Below are 18,255 nucleotides of genomic sequence, written 5' to 3'. Positions count from 1 at the left end.
ACCAATAACTGACTTTTAAAACTAGGACAGTGGTACTTGCAAATCTTGCATATATATATATATATATATATATATATATATATATATATATATATATTTTTTTTTTTTTTTTTTTTTTTCCTTCTTCTTCTTTAGACGGAGTCTCGCTCTGTTGCCCAGGCTGGAGTGCAGTGGCGCAAACTCGGTTCACTGCAAGCTCCACCTCCTGGGTTCATGCCATTCTCCTGACTCAGCCTCCTGAGTAGCGGGGACTACAGGTGCCTGCTATCACGCCCGGCTAATTTTTTTTTTTTTGTATTTTTTAGTAGAGATGGGGTTTCACCGTGTTAGCCAGGATGGTCTCGATCTCCTGACCTCATGATCCACCCGCCTCAGCCTCCCAAAGTGCTGGAATTACAGGCGTGAGCCACCGCGCCCGGCCCCAAGGTTTCATATTAATTTTTACTATTTGATGCTAATGGCCCAAAGGGGAGTCAAGTCCACTTAAATCCATTAGGCAGGAAAGACTTTGAGGATACAGAAAATACCATACCTTTAAAAGGAAAGCAGTAATAGGGGCCTAGAGAATTGGGCAAAAAGACTAAACATCTTACTAGGGCTTCACACCATTTTGTAAAGGCCTAAATGTAAACCTCTTCTAAGTGAGAGTCCCCTAATTAACATGTCATTGTTCCCACAACTCCTTATTTCTAGCTCTATTAGAGTACTTTTCCCTTTCTGCTTAGTATGATAGCTAGCCAGTTATCTCCCTTATTTGCTCAATCATTTGGTTATTTATTCCACAAATATTTATGGGACGCTTCCTCTGGAAATCACCCCATCATAAAAGATTTACAAGCTGTGATCCTCACCATGAAGGTACTCAAGTGTCACAGTTTAGCATGTGGGATCTGGAGACACAGCATCCGAGTTCCTGATCCAATTGCCTTGTTCCAGCTGTAAAAAGTCAGGCAAGTTACATGACCTCTCTGTGTCTGTTTGCTCCTTTCTAAGAAGAGGATAATAACATGTGTCTCACAAGACTGTTTTGAGGCTTAAAGGCATTCATCCTTTAAGAGTATTTGGAACATAACTTGGTATATGTCAGCAGTCAATAAACATTTGTTATCATGATTGCCATCCAGAAGAGCAAAATCTAATTAAGACGTTTCTGAGTTGCATCTCTTGCCTAAACTGTGATAATAATTTTTTTTTTTTTTGAAACAGGGTCTCATTCTGTCATCCAGGCTGGAGTGCAGTAGCATGCTCATGGCTCACTGCAGCCTCAACCTCCTGGGCTCAGATGATGCTTCCACCTCAGCCTCCCGAGTAGCTGGACTACAGGGACATACCGCCACACTCGTCTCATTTTTGTATTCTTTGTAGAGATGGGCATTTGCTTTGTTGGCCAGGCTGGTCTCAAATTCCTGAGCTCAAGTGGTCTGCCTGCCTAGGCCTCCCAAAGTGCTGAGATTACAGGCATAAGCCACCATGCCTAGCCAATAAATTCTTATACTCCCACTTTTGTGGTCAACTTTTTCTTTTTTAAAAAAATAGTTTTGGTTTCTTAAATTTTTAAAAAACATTTCAATAATTTTGGGGGAACAGGTGCTGTTTGGTTGTATGGAAAAGTTCTTTAGTGGTGATTTCTGAGATTTACCCATCAACCACGCAGTATACACTGTACCCAACGTGTAGTCTTTTATCCTTCACCACCCTCACACCTTTCCCCCGGAGTCCCCAGAGTCCATTATATCATTCTTCTGCCTTTGCATTCTCATAGCTTAGCTTCTGCTTATAAGTGAGAACGTACACTGGTTTTTCATTCCCAAGTTACTTCACTTAGAATAATGGTCTCCAGCTCCATCCAGGTTGCTGCAAATGCCATTATTTCATTCCTTTTTATGGTTGAGTGGTATTCCATGGTGTATATCTATATGTATCTTTTTCTTTATCCACTCATTGGTTGATGGGCATTTAGGCTGGTTCCATACTTTGTAGTTGTGAATTGTGCTGCTATAAACATGCATGTGCAAATGTCTTTTTCATACAATGACTTCTTTTCCTCTGAGTAGATACCCAGTAGCGGGATTGCTGGATCAAAAGGCAGTTTTACTTTCAGTTCTTTAAGGAATCTCCATACTGTTTTCTATAGTGGTTGTACTAGTTTACATTCCCACCAACAGTGTAGAAGTATTCCCTTTTCACCACATCCATACCAACATTTCTTATGTTTTGATTTTTTAATTATGGCCATTCTTGCAGGAGTAAGGTGGTATTGCATTGTGGTTTTGATGTGCATTCTCTGATAATTAGTGATCTTGAGCATTTTTTCATAGTTTGTTGGCCATTTGTATTAGTCTGTTTTCATGCTACTAATAAAGACATACCTGAGAGTGGGTAATTTATAAAGGAAAAAAGGTTTAATTGACTCACAGTTCCACATGGCTGGGGAGGCCTCGCAATCATGGCTGGAGGTGAATGGGGAGCAAAGTCACATCTTAAGTGGCAGCAAGCAAGAGAGCTTGTGTAGGGGAACTCCCCTTTATAAAACCATCAGATTTCGTGAGACTTATTCACTATCATGAGAACAGCACAGGAAAGGCTCGCCCCCATGATTCAATTACTTCTCAGCAGGTTCCTCCCATGACACATAGGAATTATAGGAGCTACAATTCAAGATGAGACTTGGGTGGAGACACAGCCAAACCATATTACCATTTGTAATATGTACCATCTTCTTTTCTTGTACCATCTTCTTTTGAGAATTGTCTATTCACGTCCTTAACCCACTTTTTGATGGAATTATTTGTTTTTTTCTTGCTGATTTGTTGAATTCCTTGTAGATTCTGGATATTAGTCCTTTGTCAGATGCAAAGTTTGTGAATATTTTCTCACATTCTGTGGGCTGTATTTACTCTGATTATTTGTTTTGCTGTGCAGAAGCTTTTTAGTTTACTTAGGTCCTATCTATTTATCTTTGTTTTTGTTGCATTTGCTTTGGGGTTCTTGCCATAAACTCTTTGCCTAAGTCAATGTCTAGAAGAGTTTTTCCAATGTTATCTTTTATAATTTTTATGATTTCAGGTCTTAAAGTCCTTGATCCATCTTGAGTTGATTTTTGTATAGGTGAGATATGAGGATCCAGTTTCACTCCTCTACATGTGGCTAGCCAATTATCCCAGCACCATTTGTTGAATAAGGTATCCTTTCCCCATTTTACATTGTTTGTTTGTTTTGTTGAAGATCAGTTGGCTATACGTATTTGGCTTTATTTCTGGGTTCTCTATTCTGCTCCATTTTCCTCAATTATTCTCTCAAATAAGTTTTCCAAACTTTTTGATTTCTCTTCTTTCTTGGGAACACGAATTATTTTTGTGTTTGGGTCATTTGCACATAATCCCAAATTTCTTGGAGGCTTTGTTCATTTTTTCAATTCCATTTTCTTTGTCTTTGTTGGATTAGGTTAATTCAAAAGCCTTGTCTTCATCCTCTGAAGTTCTTTCTTCTACTTGCTTGATTCTATTGTTGAAACTTTCCAGTGTATTTTGCATTTCTGTAAGTATGTCTTTCATTTCCAAAAGTTATGATTGTCTTTTCTTTATAATATCTATTTCTCTGGAGACTTTTTCATCCATATCCTCTATTATTTTTTAAATTTCTTTAAGTTGGTTTTCACTTTTCTCTGGTACCTCCTTGAGTAGCTTAATAATCAACTTTCTGACTTCTTTATGTGGCAATTCAGAGATTTCTTATTGGTTTGGATCCATTGCTGGAGAGCTAATGTGGTCTTTTAGGGTGTTATAGAACCTTGTCATATTACCAGAATTACTTTTATAGTTCCTTCTTATTTGGGTAGACAGTTTCAGTGGAAAAATCTGGAACTCAAGGGCTCTCGTCCCATGGGGTGATTCCTTGATGTAGTGCTCTCCCCATTCCCCTAGGGATGGAGCTTCCTGAGAGACAGACTGCAGTGATTGTTATTGCCCTTCTGGGTCTAGCCACCCAGCGGGGCTACCAGACTCCAGGCTGGTGCTGGGGAATGTCTGCAAAGAGTCCTGTGATGTGATCCGTCTTCAGGTCTCCCAGCTATGGATACCAGTACCTGCTCTGGTAAAGGTGGCAGGGGAGTGAAGTGGACTCTGTGGGAGTCCTTGGTTGTAGTTTCATTTAGTGTGCTGGTTTCCTCAAATGCTGGTTATGCTAGCAGTGAAGTTGTCACATGGACAGACTCAGGACTTCTGGTTACCCAGGATGTTGCAGGCGGTAGAATTAGCTGTTGTTTTCTCCTTCTTTGGAGCAGGGTTGTTCTGTTATGAGTTGCTGTAATGGCTTGAATTGGTTGGCCTCCAGACAGGAGGTGGCACTTTTCAAGAGAGCATAAGCTGCAGTAGTAGAAGGGGGATATAAGCTTGCCCTATGTTGGCCAAGTTAAGTACTTACTTGGGTTTCTCAGGCAATAGGTGGGGCCATAGAGCTACCAAGACCTTATGTCTTCGGCTACCAGGGTGGGTAGAGAAAAACCATCAGGTGGGGCTGGGGTAGGCGGGTCTGAACTCAGACTCTCTTTGGGCAGGGCTTGCTGCAGCAACTGTGGGGAATGTGGGGGAGGCAGCGGTGCGGGTGGTTCTCAGGCCAATAGAGTTATGTTCCCAGGAGAATTATGGCTGCCTCTGCTGTGTCATACAGGTTTCCAGGGAAGAGGGGGAAGCCAGCAGTGACAGGCCTCACCCAGCTCCCACACAGCCAGCAAAGCCAGTCTCATTCCCACCATGCCTCACCAACAGCACCAAGTATACATCCAGGCAGCTGGTGAGCAGAGCTGAAATCTTGCCCCAGACAACAAGCCTCTCCACCAAGAAAGCAAGTGGGGCTGTCAGGCTTTACCTCTCCCTGCCTGCCTGCAGCTTTGGCTGTGACTTCTGCACTCATATATGCACTTCCAATTTGTCCCCACCCCCCGACCCCGACCAGATTCTACTCAGGAAAATTTATGCTTAGGTCGAAATTATTACAAAGTTCAGCCAGAAGCTTCCATCACCTGTGGCTCCTCTCTAATTCTGCTGGCTGCCTTCCCCAAGGACTCCTGTGAGATAAGGCCAGGAATGCTTTCCCTGGGCTCAAGCTAGGGACTAGGAAGACCCTATAGGGTTCTTCCTGCTGCTGCTTCTATTTTTATACTTCTCTCAGCTCCTTAAAACCGTTTCAGTTCTAGATAAGGTTAAATCCTTCTCCCATGATCTGTATTTTCAGGTTCTCCAGTGGGGATGTGTGTCAGAGACCAACTTTTCCCCCTCTCACACTCTGGGAGCTCACAGTTTTTGGGCTGTCTTACAGAGTCTGCAGTGGCAAGCCACTTCTTTCAAAGACTCTATGAATTATTTCGGTTTTCCTGGTATGTTCCTGTAGTGGTTCTTGGAGCTCAAGTTCATGGTTTGAGTCCCCACACACTGTTCTGTCCATCCACGTGGGAGGTGCATGTTAGTCCTGTCTCCTATCTGCCATTTTCCTCTTCACCCCTATAAAAATCTGGTCAACTTTTTCTGTCTTCTCTGGAAGTTGTTCATATTTCTTATGATAAATCCCTTTTCTCTAACTAATTCTCCAATGAGTACCTAGGCAATCCATCTGGCTTTAGTGGCATTAATAAGACGGACTATGCTTCTGCATTAGATTTTTCCCCTAAAGTCTCCAGTCTGCTTATTTTTACAAGCAAGTATGAGGTTTTGAAAATGACTTATTCATCATGGTCACAAAATGAGCACTTTCCCATTAAGATTTATCACAAATCTAACTCTAACTGAAATGCTGGGAGGAAAAAGTAGAGACATACACATGCAGATACATAAATATATATAGCATTTATGTATACCCTTTATACATATTTTTTAAGTCAAAGAATTTTTAACACTCTCCCAACACTCAGTTGGAACAGTAAAAGCTATACCTAGAGGAAAATTTATAGACTGAAATGTTTTAATTTTAAAAGAGACTTTTTAGAAGAAACTCTTTATTCATATATAAAAATTAGAAATAGTAAATTCCTCTCGCCTCAAAAAATGAACTAATAAAAATAAAAGCTGGAACTAATGCATTATAACACAAAGAATAGTAGCAGCAAGGATAAATAAGTTCAAAAGACCTCTTTGGGTCTTTTGGAAGAAAAATTAAAAGAGTAAAATAGGTAAATCTTTCATAGGCCTGTTTAAGAAAAAAAAATAGAGTGAACAGAAGTGTAAGACATTAGGAATGAGAAAGGAGGCAACTACAGATAAAGAAGAAAATAAAATAATTATGAGCGAATTCCACCTGCAACTCTGGCAAAAAGTTTGAAACCCTAGAGGAAATGAATAATGTCGATAATCAAAATCAATCCAGAAATGAAAAACCTAAACAGACAGATTAACATAGGAAAAAGGAGCCACTTACCATAGAAAAAGGTAGGAGGATCAGATATATTCAGCTGAATTCTATCTTATTTTTTTAAATAGGTAATTCCAATGTTATTGAACTAATTCAGGCCTTTAAAATACACAGAAATGTCCCCAATTCATTTTATGAAACCAGTACTGAGTTAGTACCAAAATCCAATCAAGATTTACTAAATAAATAAAACAATGATCAAAATATGTACATAAATAAATATGATGCAGCCAAGCAAAAATGTAGAAGGAGGCATGAGGAAGACCGCCATAAAAAACAGAAACCTGTGATCACATCTGTGCAATTATATAAAAATTATGTGTGTACATTTAATAAATTATTTAATAACACATAAATTGTCAATTAATACGTAATAATTTTATCAAGTCCACAACAGTCAACATAAGCACATACACACAAACGAATGTAAGACTTTTCACTGCATTTAAGGACCCAGTAGTAAGATCCTACGCCAAACTCAGGACTCAGTGTTTTCTCAAAGGTTATGATGTGTAATCCTAGCCTTGTACCATCTACATTGGTACATGATAGGCAGAAAATGTCTCATTCATTTTGCATCTCACAGAGAATTTTGTTACATTGAAAAGAAAATAATCCTTCTAGTATATTAGGAGCATTCAGATAACCTGACATTCTCTAAAATTAAGAATAAGCAAAGATAATCATGTCAAGACATATGTTCCAATAAATAGATATGAGGGGGGAAAGGGGTTCTCTATTCAAAGCAGTTTAGAAAATCTCTTATGGGAGATTCACAGGGCATACGCATACACTAAGGGCTTTGAAAAGTCCTGTGGTAAACGAAAGTTTTATTTAACTTGGAAAATCCCCAAATGAGTTGACTGCAGAACTCTTTCTTCTTGTTTCTTTTTTGTGTGATACCTGTTAATATCCCAAGGAACTGCAGCTCTGAAGAACACTTTGAGGGAATTCCAGAGTTAAAGTCATTGTCCTAGCAATTTCAGACACTGAGAAGAAAACAAAGAACTGATGGGTAGACAGAATCCATTGTAGAATCAGAAAACACACTCTTTGTCATTCCATGGCTGACAAATTATTCTGCTTTTGTCATATTTCAGATTATATCTTACCAGGCTTATTCATGAACTCATCTACTGATGCACTCACATGAGTCAACATAAGGATGTGCACCAAGAAAACTGTAAAATGCTATAACAAATGTATGTAAAGACCATATTTTTTTTTTTTTGAGAGAGAGAATCTCACTTTGTCACCCAGGCTGGAATTTAGTGGCGCAATCATAGCTCATTGCAGCCTTGAACTCCTAGGACCAAGAGATCCTCCTGCCTCAGTCTCCCAGGTAGCTAGGACTACAGACATACGCCACCAGGCCCAACTAATTTTTTAAATAAGGTTTTTGTAGAGACGGTCTCTCTCTGTTACCCAGGCTGGTCTCAAACTCCTGGCCTCAAGTGATCCTCCTGCCTTAGCCTCCCAAAGTGCTGGGATTACAGGCATAAATTATTATTATACTGATTGGTTCTAATGCCTTCTTGGGGCACTAAGTTAATTTAGGTAAGATGTTAATATCAGTACTTGATCATTTTCTCCCATGACCAGAAACACACAAGAAAAGTGGTCTACTGAAAAAGACTGTGTGATATATCGTGGGTACTGATGTTCTTCTTACCATTTGGCACCAAAAACCTGCAGGTATCTATTTTGGGACCACAGAAGCAGAATATGTTGTCAATATTAATAACGAATACTATTATTAATTCTTAATTCCATATTCGATGACTGATTAGATGTAAGTTTTACTGCAGAAGTCTAACGCCATTAATATGATATCACTATTTCAAGATTTGTTAACTCAGATTTTTATAAAAACAAATTACAGCCCAACTTTATTAGGAATGAATGATTAAACTGATTGCCTCTAAGACTGTAAAAAAGAAAATATTTAAGTAATAATTTTCAAGCCCTTTAGAACATCCAAACTCAAAAAGATAACAATATGTTTATAGCAAATAATTTTCATTTATAGTTTACTTGCCTTTAGTGTTTATATATATAGTCATATCAAAATAGCATTTATTTTAAAAATTCCATAATTTAGATGTTTCACAAACTGAGGCTACACTGTCTCTCATTTGACATAAAAGAATAAGGTCTATCTACATTAAATTTAAATTTGCTCCATCAACGAAAGTTCTATTTCTATCTCCTAATGCCTCAGCTTACCTAGTAATAACCATATCATTAGACATGATTTTTCAGTATGGGATTTTCCTTTATCCTTCCATTCTCCTTCAGACCAATCTGTGATTAGCAACAGAGTATCAAGATGTCTGATCAGGACTAGGGGTGCCCACAAAGAGAGAAAGAACCAGAATGCTGGTACTTTCGTCATGTGGCTTAGCCAGTCCAGAGAACTTTCTTGTCTAAGAGAGGCCTAAGAGAGACATATATCATTTGCTAGAGTCTGGGAGGAGATGCCACGTGTGTCTGCCACTACCAGAAAGACAAGAACCCACAGTCAAAGTATTTACTGTATACATGAAACTTACCCTTTCCACACTCATTCAATAAGCCTGCTGAGTACCTGCCACATGCCAGACATGAAACTTCCTGAATACTTCCTACAGTCCAGCATTTTTCTAAGTGTTTGCAAATGTGAACACATTTAAGACTCACAACAATGCTATTAGGAAGGGACAAATTCTTGTTCTCATTTTACCGATGCAGATGCAGGCACAGAAAAGTTAAAAACCTTACCCAAAGTCATACAGTCGGTAAGTAAGTGGTGGAGCTGTGATTTTAACTCAGGCTGTCTGGCCCCAGAGTCTACATTCTTAACCGCAACTGTATCCTGCCTCACTACAGAGCAGCACGTAAGATGAGGTCCCTACCCCAAGGTGTTTAATATTCTTTTGAAAATATGAAGAGTTTACCTTTTAGAGATGCTTCGTTTTTTAAGAGACGGGGTCTTGCTCTGTTTCCTGGGCTGGCGTGCAGTGGCGAGATCATAGTTCACTGCAGCCTGGAAGTCATGGGCTTTTACAAGCAATCCTCCCACCTCAGCCTCCTGAGTAGCTAGAGCTACGGGCATGTGCCACCATGCCCAGTGAATTTTGTACTTTTTTTTTTGTAGATATTGGGTCTTGCTCTGTTGCCCAGGCTGGTCTAGAACTCTAGGCCTCAAGCAATCCTTCTGCCTCAGCCTCCCAAAATGCTGAGATTACAGACATGAGCCACTGCACCAGGCTGAGATGTTACTTTTTAAAAACAAAACACTCAATGCAAGGTTTCTGAATGCCAGTTCAAACTTCAATCCTTGATGCAAAGTTTTCACCCAACCAAGACAAAACAAGAAAAAACAATTACGAGAGAGGGGGAGAGAGAGGGAGTGTGTGTGTGTGTGTGTGTGTGTGTGTGTGTGTGTGTGTGTGTGTGTGTGTGTGTTGGGGGTGGGGGGTGTATGTCCACCAATTGCCTTTCTGGGTCTAATGGATAATCCTCCATTTTAGTGTCAATATTTCCTTTGTTTTCTAAACAATAATGACAGCATGTGTAGCTATTGTTTTGTTAATGCCCTTACTTGACCAAATGAGAAGTTAGTAAATCTAAACTGAGCTTCTGAAATTTTTCATTTCACTGGTCCATGAGCTCATAGAGCTCCAAGTCTGAAAATCAATGAACTACCTTTTTTTTTTTGAAGAAGGCATTATGTTAAGTGAAATAAGCCAGACACAGAAAGACAAATATTGCACAAGCTCACTTATATGTGCAATCTAACATAGCCAAACTCACAGAAACAGAGAGTAGAATAGTGGTTACTAGGGGCTGTTGAGGGAGAGAAATGGGGAAGTGTTGGTCAAAGGGTATACAATATTTCAGTTATACAAAATAAATAAGATCTGGAGATCTACTGTATAGCATAGGGCCCATGATTCACAACACTGTATTGTATGCTTAAAAATTCGCTAGATCTTTATGTTATGTGCTCTTACCACAAAAGGAAAAAAAAGGAAGGGAGAAGAAACTTTGGGAGATAGTGGATAAGTTCAGGGCATGGATAGTGATGATGGTTTGATGGTTTCATGGTATACCTATTTCCAAACACATCAAGTTATACACATTCAATATCTGCAACTTTTTGTATGTCAGTCATTCCTTAGTAAAGTTGTTAAAAAAAAAAAAAAAAGATGGCGACCCGATATTTCCTTTGATAGGTAAGTATCATAGAGAAGGATATTTCGTACCTCTTACTGCTGGGGTCGGGGAGGCAAAGAGGAAATGTGAGGAGGGCACCAGAGTGGCAGCCTCCACAGAACATTCTGGCATTAAAGGTTGTGAGGGGCTTGTCTGAATGGCCAAGGACAAACTGCCTAAATGAAGACTTTTTAAATGATGGAAAATGCTCTCCTTCTCTGATGTACCCCCCTCTAAAGAAAGAACAGTTGTTCTGAGGTCAGAATTTTATATAGCTTGTGATTTTACACCCTTCTTGTTCAGTATCATTATATATGCACAGCTTCTTGAAGTTAAAAACATAAACTACTACCTACCCTCAAGATGAATAACAAACAATTCTATCTCCTACCCTGAAGTAATTGTTAACACTATTATTTTCACAGTAAATAATTGTTACAGCCATTTGCTGGTGAAATAGTGACATGTTTTGTTGACTTCTTACAAATACCAAGAGAAATCAAATGCTTCTTGTAGCACATTGGTTAAGTTGCTAATTACTTGTATTTGAGCTTGAAATCCTGGCTCTTCTCAAAAATAAAAATAAGTTATGACAAATATATATCACTGGAGCATATAGAAATCAACATTTCTATTATAGAGTCTTCCTTAAAATCTACTCTCTCAAAAAAAATGGATTGAAATATTGAATAATTTAACACTAAATTAATTTCAGTAGGGTAAATCTGTTGGCTAGATCACTTGCAGGGTAGTGATACACATCTTTATTCAGAATTCTGAGTATTTAACTGGTTATTTTTCATGCTAACCTACATTAGACAGTTCTCATGTTCAAAACATCCAGTCTATTTAAGATTGGATTCCCCAAGAAAATGTGCTACACATGTGAAAATGAGTACAGGTTGAGCATCCCAAATCCAAAAATCCAAAAATACAAAATCTGAAATGCTCCAAAATCCAAAAGTCTTTGAGTGTCAATGTGATACTCATAGGATATGCTCAATGGAGCATTTTGGATTTCAGATTTCCAGATTTGGGATACTCGATAAGTGTAATGTAAATATTCCCAAATCAAAACATATCTGAAACCTGAAACACTTCTATTCCCAAGCATTTCAGATAAGGAATACTCAACCTGTAATTTAAATCAATGCCAGAAGAACTATTAGGGGAAAATAAAATTTAATAACCAAAGTTAGATTTTACAGCTTTAATGGCAACTTTAGAACATTTTAATAGCACAAAAGAATAAAACAGACTTTATAATATCATAGCAAGTAGAAAGCAAAATAGTAACTTTATTCTATGAATTAAAAAGTCACAGTATGACATAGTTCTTAGGTTTACAGCCACTATACAAGGGACAAAGCCAGAGCCAACTTTCCTTGAAAAGCAATTAAAAGAACAGATGAACACAAAGTAGTCTCCAATATGTAGTTGACTCTGCTGTGATTTTATCTATTTCAATGAACTCAAAGAGAAAGTTAATGTATAGTACAGGATCATACTCAAGGGAAAGAGGGAAAACATCACACAATGGGCCAGGGGATCTGGATTCTGCTTGCAATTCCCCGACATGCTCCCATTTACATGTAAAGCAAATCACTTTATCTAAGCCTCAGTTTCCCAATTGTAGCATGAGAAGCTGAAATCCAATCAAGAACTTGCTAATTTAGCATGTTTTAAAACAAGAAATTTTTTCAGTAGTTTTACCACTGTAGACATAGATTAATCTTGCCCAAGAAAAAAATTTTCCCTTTGCTATGTCTTTTTTTTTTTTTTTTTTTTTTTTTTTTGAGACAGAGTCTTGCTCTGTTGCTCAGGCTGGAGTGCAATGGTGTAATCTCAGCTCACTGCAACCTCTGCCTCCTGGGTTCAAGCAATTATCTGCCTCAGCCTCCCTAGTAGCTGGGGTTACAGGTGCCCACCACCACACCTGGCTAATTTTTGTATTTTGAGTAGAGATGGGGTTTCACCATCTTGGCCAGGCTGGTCTTGAACTCCTGGCCTCATGATCCACCGACTTCAGCCTCCCAAAGTGCTAGGATTACAGGTGTGAGCCACCGCGCCTGCCTGCAATGTCTTTTAAGTTTCTTAATCTCTAAGTTCTCCCCTTCCACTCCTTTTGCTCCTGAAGAAGAGCCTGAGCCCTTTTACCTGCAGAGTTTCCCACAGTCTGGACTGTGGTGATACACATTCATGACTCATTTCAACATGTTCCTCTGTCCTCTGTATTTCCTAAAAATGGGTGGTTGATTCCAGAAATAGAAGCATTTATGTCCTCGCTTTTATTAACTTATAACATTTTGAAATTGGAATTAAACATTAATAATAATGACATAAAGGAGTTTAATTCAGTCTATATGAACCCAACTCTTCCTCATTTGCTTAGGGCACTACCCCTTTCCAAGGGGGAATAAGGCATAATGGCCACATTCTCTATCAACACCAAGGATTCTTTTTACTAGAAAGCCAACTCTAGGCTCATATGCACTCAGGATATGGATATTACCCTAGGTATGATCTTGGCAAGTTTCCCTTCATCTTTATGTTTGCATTAGTCTCCTTTCTTCCCAGACCTACAGCTCCCCCAGCTACAGAGGCGTTACATAAGGTAGACCTGCCACAGGGTGGCTGCCATTGTTAACTACTCCAGGAGGCAGCCCTTCAGCAGAAATAATAGAAATATGCTGCCTTAGAAGTGTGAACCCATCTATCTTGGGGAAATGAACTCCAGAAGGTGAATTTAAAAACAGCATCTTAGCAGGAAAGGCGGAAAGGGAGAGACATACCCTAGCATCGTCATCGAGGAAACAATTCTGCCACCAGCCATTACAGCTGCATCATCTGCAAAAATGAGTGTTCTATAGGCAGAGCAGATGTTCCAAAGCTGTGTCATTTGTAAAAATAAATGAGAAACGTGAATTGAAGATGCGACCTCACTCAATATCATCTTTGAGAGTAATAGCAATTAGGCACATTGAATATAATTAGAGCTGAGAATGCAAGGATCTTTCTTCAGTCTAAATATAACTACAGAAAACATATTTTCAAAAAGTAAAATAACTCTCACTGTTGCCTGCCACCACACAGTTGCAAAGTGAGCCAGTCTAATTCTGGGGAGCTTAGACAAATGTGGCTGATTCCATACCTTTGCTAAAAAAAAAGTTGCCAATTCTTCAGCCATAGGAGAAATTAAAGGTTGGATTGGTCAGAAAGAAAACAGGTGTTTTTTGTTTGTTTGTTTGTTTTAAGACTGAATAATTAGGAAGAAAAAGGCAGAGGAGGGAATTTATTTTTTCCCTCATAACTTCAGAGAATTAGGAATAATGGCTTCACATATCCATCCCTGTAAGGAAGATAGGAGTAAGAAAAGTTGGTAGACTTCTGGGCCTCAACTTCTTGCTCAGATATAGCTGTGGTAATTTGGTTGCTCAGATTTCTCGCTCAGATATAGCTGATCACATCTCAAGAATCACCTCCAGGCCGGGCGCGGTGGCTCACGCCTGTAATCCCAGCACTTTGGGAGGCCGAGGCGGGCGGATCACGAGGTCAGGAGATCGAGACCATCCTGGCTAACACGGTGAAACCCCGTCTCTACTAAAAATACAAAAAATTAGCCGGGCGTAGTGGCGGGCGCCTGTAGTCCCAGCTACTCGGGAGGCTGAGGCAGGAGAATGGCGTGAACCCGAGAGGCGGAGCTTGCAGTGAGCCGAGATTGCGCCACTGCACTCCAGCCTGGGCGACAGAGCGAGACTCCGTCTCAAAAAAAAAAAAAAAAAAAAAAAAAAAAAAGAATCACCTCCAGCTGATTGGTAGTGGCTGCCTAGACTGTTATGAAGAATTCTAAGCACAGTCCTGGATTGGCAGGGAAGGGTTCTGGGATCAATTAGCAATGTCTGCCTTGGGTGCTGTAGTACAGAATGGCAGCATGAATTTGGACAGATGTTTAGCATCTCTGGGGAAGGTGATCTCTGAGGTTTCTTCTAGCATCTGGTCCAACTGCATTCAATTTCAGATGAAGCTAGGACCAATAATGCTTGAGTGACTTGCCAAAGGTCTAGCACCAGAACTAGAGGATTCCCTCTAATAGTGTTCTTGCTACCAACAGATGCATCACGTTACTTTTCTGGAGCACTGACTCAGAGATAGAGGAGGTAAAATGAAGCAAGGAGAAGCAAAGGGAGGAGGTTAAAGACTGATTGAGAAACCAAATGAAAAAGAGGAAAAGATCAGCAGGATTGACAGAGATGGGCCAGAAAACAGACTTGTATCCCACGCTGCAGTTGCTATGCAAAGTAACCATTTCCACACCTGATGAATCAAAGATACTCATGATTCCCTTGCTGACGATTTCCTGCTCACCACCCACGTGGGGAAACCTACTTGTGTCATCTCCCCCATGGCTGAGCATCTGCTCTCACAGCCCCAGCTGCGCAGACTGCTGGTCATATGACTGTGGCTTCCTGGCCACAGATGCTTGGACCAGAAATGGATAACTCGTCCAACTTGAACTAGTTGGATTTTTCCCCAGGAATTTGAAACTGGGGCCTGAAGACACTAGGTGCTTGACTAGGGAAGTGACATAAAACAGGAAGCCATGTCTGGCCCACATACATGCCAAAACAGAGAACACTGGTATGGAGAGAGAGAGAACAGAACAGGTCCAGGAGCTGTAGGGGGAAGAGACCATGTAATCTTAAGAAGAGAAAGAGATATTAGCTGCCCTGCTTCCACATTTTGGTGGGTGGGGGAGGCACTTAGCTGTACTCCAAACCACTGGGTTCCACAGCTCAGGTGGCTTTTATTCACTGCAAATAAATACGACCCCCTGGTGAAGTCAACTGAATCCTACTTGGTTTCCAATTTCTATGGACATAGCAACATTGCTGTGGGGGAGGGGGAGATGAGAATGGTGGCCTCTTATGAGTTTAATATTCTCAGAACACTCAAATTCATATATGCAAAACTTTTCACTAAAATATCAATTTTATGCACCAAGTAAGCATTAAGGCAATAAGTCAAATTAAACAAGATATCAGCTACTTAGAATCTACTCTGATGACTTAGCTTCATAAGCAAACGTGAGACAAGTTTATATTATTACCATGCATTTCATGTACAACAACCCTAGAGTCTGGGCTGCAAAATCCTGAAAACATGGCATCCATTTGCTTTTCACAAGTTACTAAAAAATCCCAGATGGTAAAGCCTTTAAAACTGACTACAGGAAAAATCAGTGTCTGTCTCCTGAGCATGACTTTGAGGCTGCAAAATTGGCTGGTTGGTATATGAAGAGTTCATAAAACTGTGATTAAATAAAGACACCAGGAAGTGCTTAGGCAAAGCCTGTGCAAAGACTGCTCTGTAGCCTCTTTGTATGAGAGCAAAATGATATGAAGCCGGGAGAAATAAACTATTTTAAGACAAAGAACTTTTGTAGGAACTGATTTTCAATGAAGTCCTCCTAATCTGGCACAGAAAATGAAAATGTTGATGGAAAACCCTGTGGAGATGTCACCAAGCATGAGTCAGTGTAGACGTCAAAAAAGAATGTGGTTTGCAAAGGGTTGATCAGTCCGTGGTTCCCCCAACAAATTCTGGGAAACGAATTCTCCAAATTAAATTTTTTCATTGTTTCAGTGTTTTTCAATGACTTTGCATAAAATACTACTTAGTTTTGTTGAGTTTATTCTTCGTGTAGTTTACTCCAAAACCATGTTCAATGCTTAATCTTCAATGAGATAAGCCTCTGGTGCTTTTCCAGGTTGTCAATCTTTAGGTAGACCAGATTCCTCCAAAGAGATATCTGGAACAGGAAGGAAGGATTGTATAGCTCATGCTGCAACAAGACTCAACCTTTCTCTCTGAGGTAACCTTGTAACCGGTGCAGAGGGAGCTGTAGCATCATCTTCCTTTGTCATTCACTTCCTTAGACAGCTGCTTCTCCATATACCTTAAATTGGGGTAGGAGCATAATAATCTAGGAAGAGTCAGTGGAGCATTCATTTTAATTTTCAGACAGTAGAGGGTCTTATAGAGGGTAGATGACAAATAAATGGTTATCACTTTGTCCACTGGTGTCCAGGAACATCTATCTAGCACACAGCCCCTCCTCCAACAAATGCCCCATCCTGCAAACATGAAGTTCATTTGCTACCACCCCCTGTGGCCAACTGGCCCAAGAGTGAACGTCTGCCCCAGGAGAAGCCAATCACTTCTGGCCTCACAGCCGTCAGATTGTCTCTGGGCCACAGAGAGCTGCGGCTAGTTGTGTAGGGGACACTGGGCTGCAAGCTGCCACTTGCAGCATGGATCCACAGAAAGTCTTCAGATACACATAAAGGGGAGGATCAGAAAGAAGTGAAAATGAGGAAATTTGGAGGGAGATGGAATAAAAGGAGGGGAGAGAAGAAGAAACAGAAAGAAAAGAAACAGAGGTGGCTGACCCTGGACTGAATGGTTGTTCTCCCACCAAGCCCAGTGGCACGTTCTCTTCTGGGATTCCAGGATCTACATGCCACGATGTACTCTGATTCAGCTAATATGAGTGTCACTAGCAACCAGAGACTCCCTGCAGACAACATCAACCATCTCAACCTGATGTATGATTAAAAAACCATCGCCACCTCTACCTCCGTGAGGAAAAACACCCATTCCTCCATGAGAAGACTCCACTCTCTACCACCAAATCTTCTATTTAGCTGGAAAAATATTTGTTTTATTTTCATTTTGCCCCATTTTTGTGGTTATTTGTGAACAGTTTAGTACAGTCCCACACACCTCACAGGCCAAAAGGAAAGCTTCCCAGCTGACACTCCTGACCACTGTGTGGAGAGTGCCTGGGAGAAGGCACCACTGATGTTCTCTGTCCCTGTATCTTGAGGTTGATTACACCACATCATCAAGGGAGAGGACCCAAGCTAAGGTATCACCGCCAAAGGTTACAGGCTCTCAGATTTCTCAACCCTGTGCAATTTTTCTCTCCACTTTCTTTTCTGTCTTTGGTCTCAGTGGGTAAGAACATGAGCCTTAGAATCTGACAGACTCAGATTAAAACCCAAGCTTCAGATTTATTTGCTGTGTAACCTTGGGCAAATTGCTTTTCTCCGTGCCTCAGTGTTGTCGCCTAGGAACTACCTTGTTCATGTAACTGATGTGAGAACTGAAGGAGATAATGCACTAAAAGGATTTCGAATATTACCTAGAGCAGGGGCCGGGCGCAATGGCTCACGCCTGTAATCTCAGCACTTCAGGAAGCCGAGGAGGTTGGATCACTTGAGCCCAGGAGTTGGAGACCAGCCTGGCAACATGGAAAACCCCATCTCTACAAAAAATATAAAAGTTATCTGGGGGTGGTAGCAGGTACCTGTAGTCCCAGCTACTCCAGAGGCTGAAGTCGGAGGATCATTTGAGCCTGGGAGATCAAGGTTCCTGTGAGCCGAGATTGCACCACGGCACTCCAGTCTGGGCAACAGAGTGAGACCCTGTCTCAAAAAATAATAATAATTACCTGGAACATGGTAACCATTTTTTAAAACTGTGTATTTATTAATTACTGCCATAATGGCAGCATTAAAAGGTAAAAACTTTTTTAAATGTCAGCCAATTAAAAAGCTAATTGTGTTTATTTTTAAAACAGAACCCACTGCTGCA

General features: G+C 40.2%; 1 protein-coding gene across 9 annotated transcripts in view, besides 2 other annotated features; it reads right to left on the bottom strand.

Moving 5' to 3' along the window:
• Positions 1-18,255, bottom strand: part of KIAA1549L (KIAA1549 like) — a 297,995-nt gene that overhangs the window by 143,569 nt on the left and 136,171 nt on the right. The window lies entirely within an intron of this gene.
• Positions 4,294-4,373: an enhancer, noted in NCBI's record as "active region_4580". NCBI's record gives its function as "activates an Ori minimal core promoter by ATAC-STARR-seq in GM12878 lymphoblastoid cells {active_cell/tissue: GM12878}" and the evidence as "EXISTENCE:reporter gene assay evidence [ECO:0000049][PMID:35858748]".
• Positions 15,031-15,190: an enhancer, noted in NCBI's record as "active region_4579". NCBI's record gives its function as "activates an Ori minimal core promoter by ATAC-STARR-seq in GM12878 lymphoblastoid cells {active_cell/tissue: GM12878}" and the evidence as "EXISTENCE:reporter gene assay evidence [ECO:0000049][PMID:35858748]".

Source organism: Homo sapiens, chromosome 11, assembly GCF_000001405.40.
Source record: "Homo sapiens chromosome 11, GRCh38.p14 Primary Assembly".
In the NCBI taxonomy this organism is placed as follows: Eukaryota; Metazoa; Chordata; class Mammalia; order Primates; family Hominidae; genus Homo; species Homo sapiens.
The sequence above is the reverse complement of the archived record's forward strand: the minus strand, read 5'-3'. Positions and strand labels throughout refer to the sequence as shown.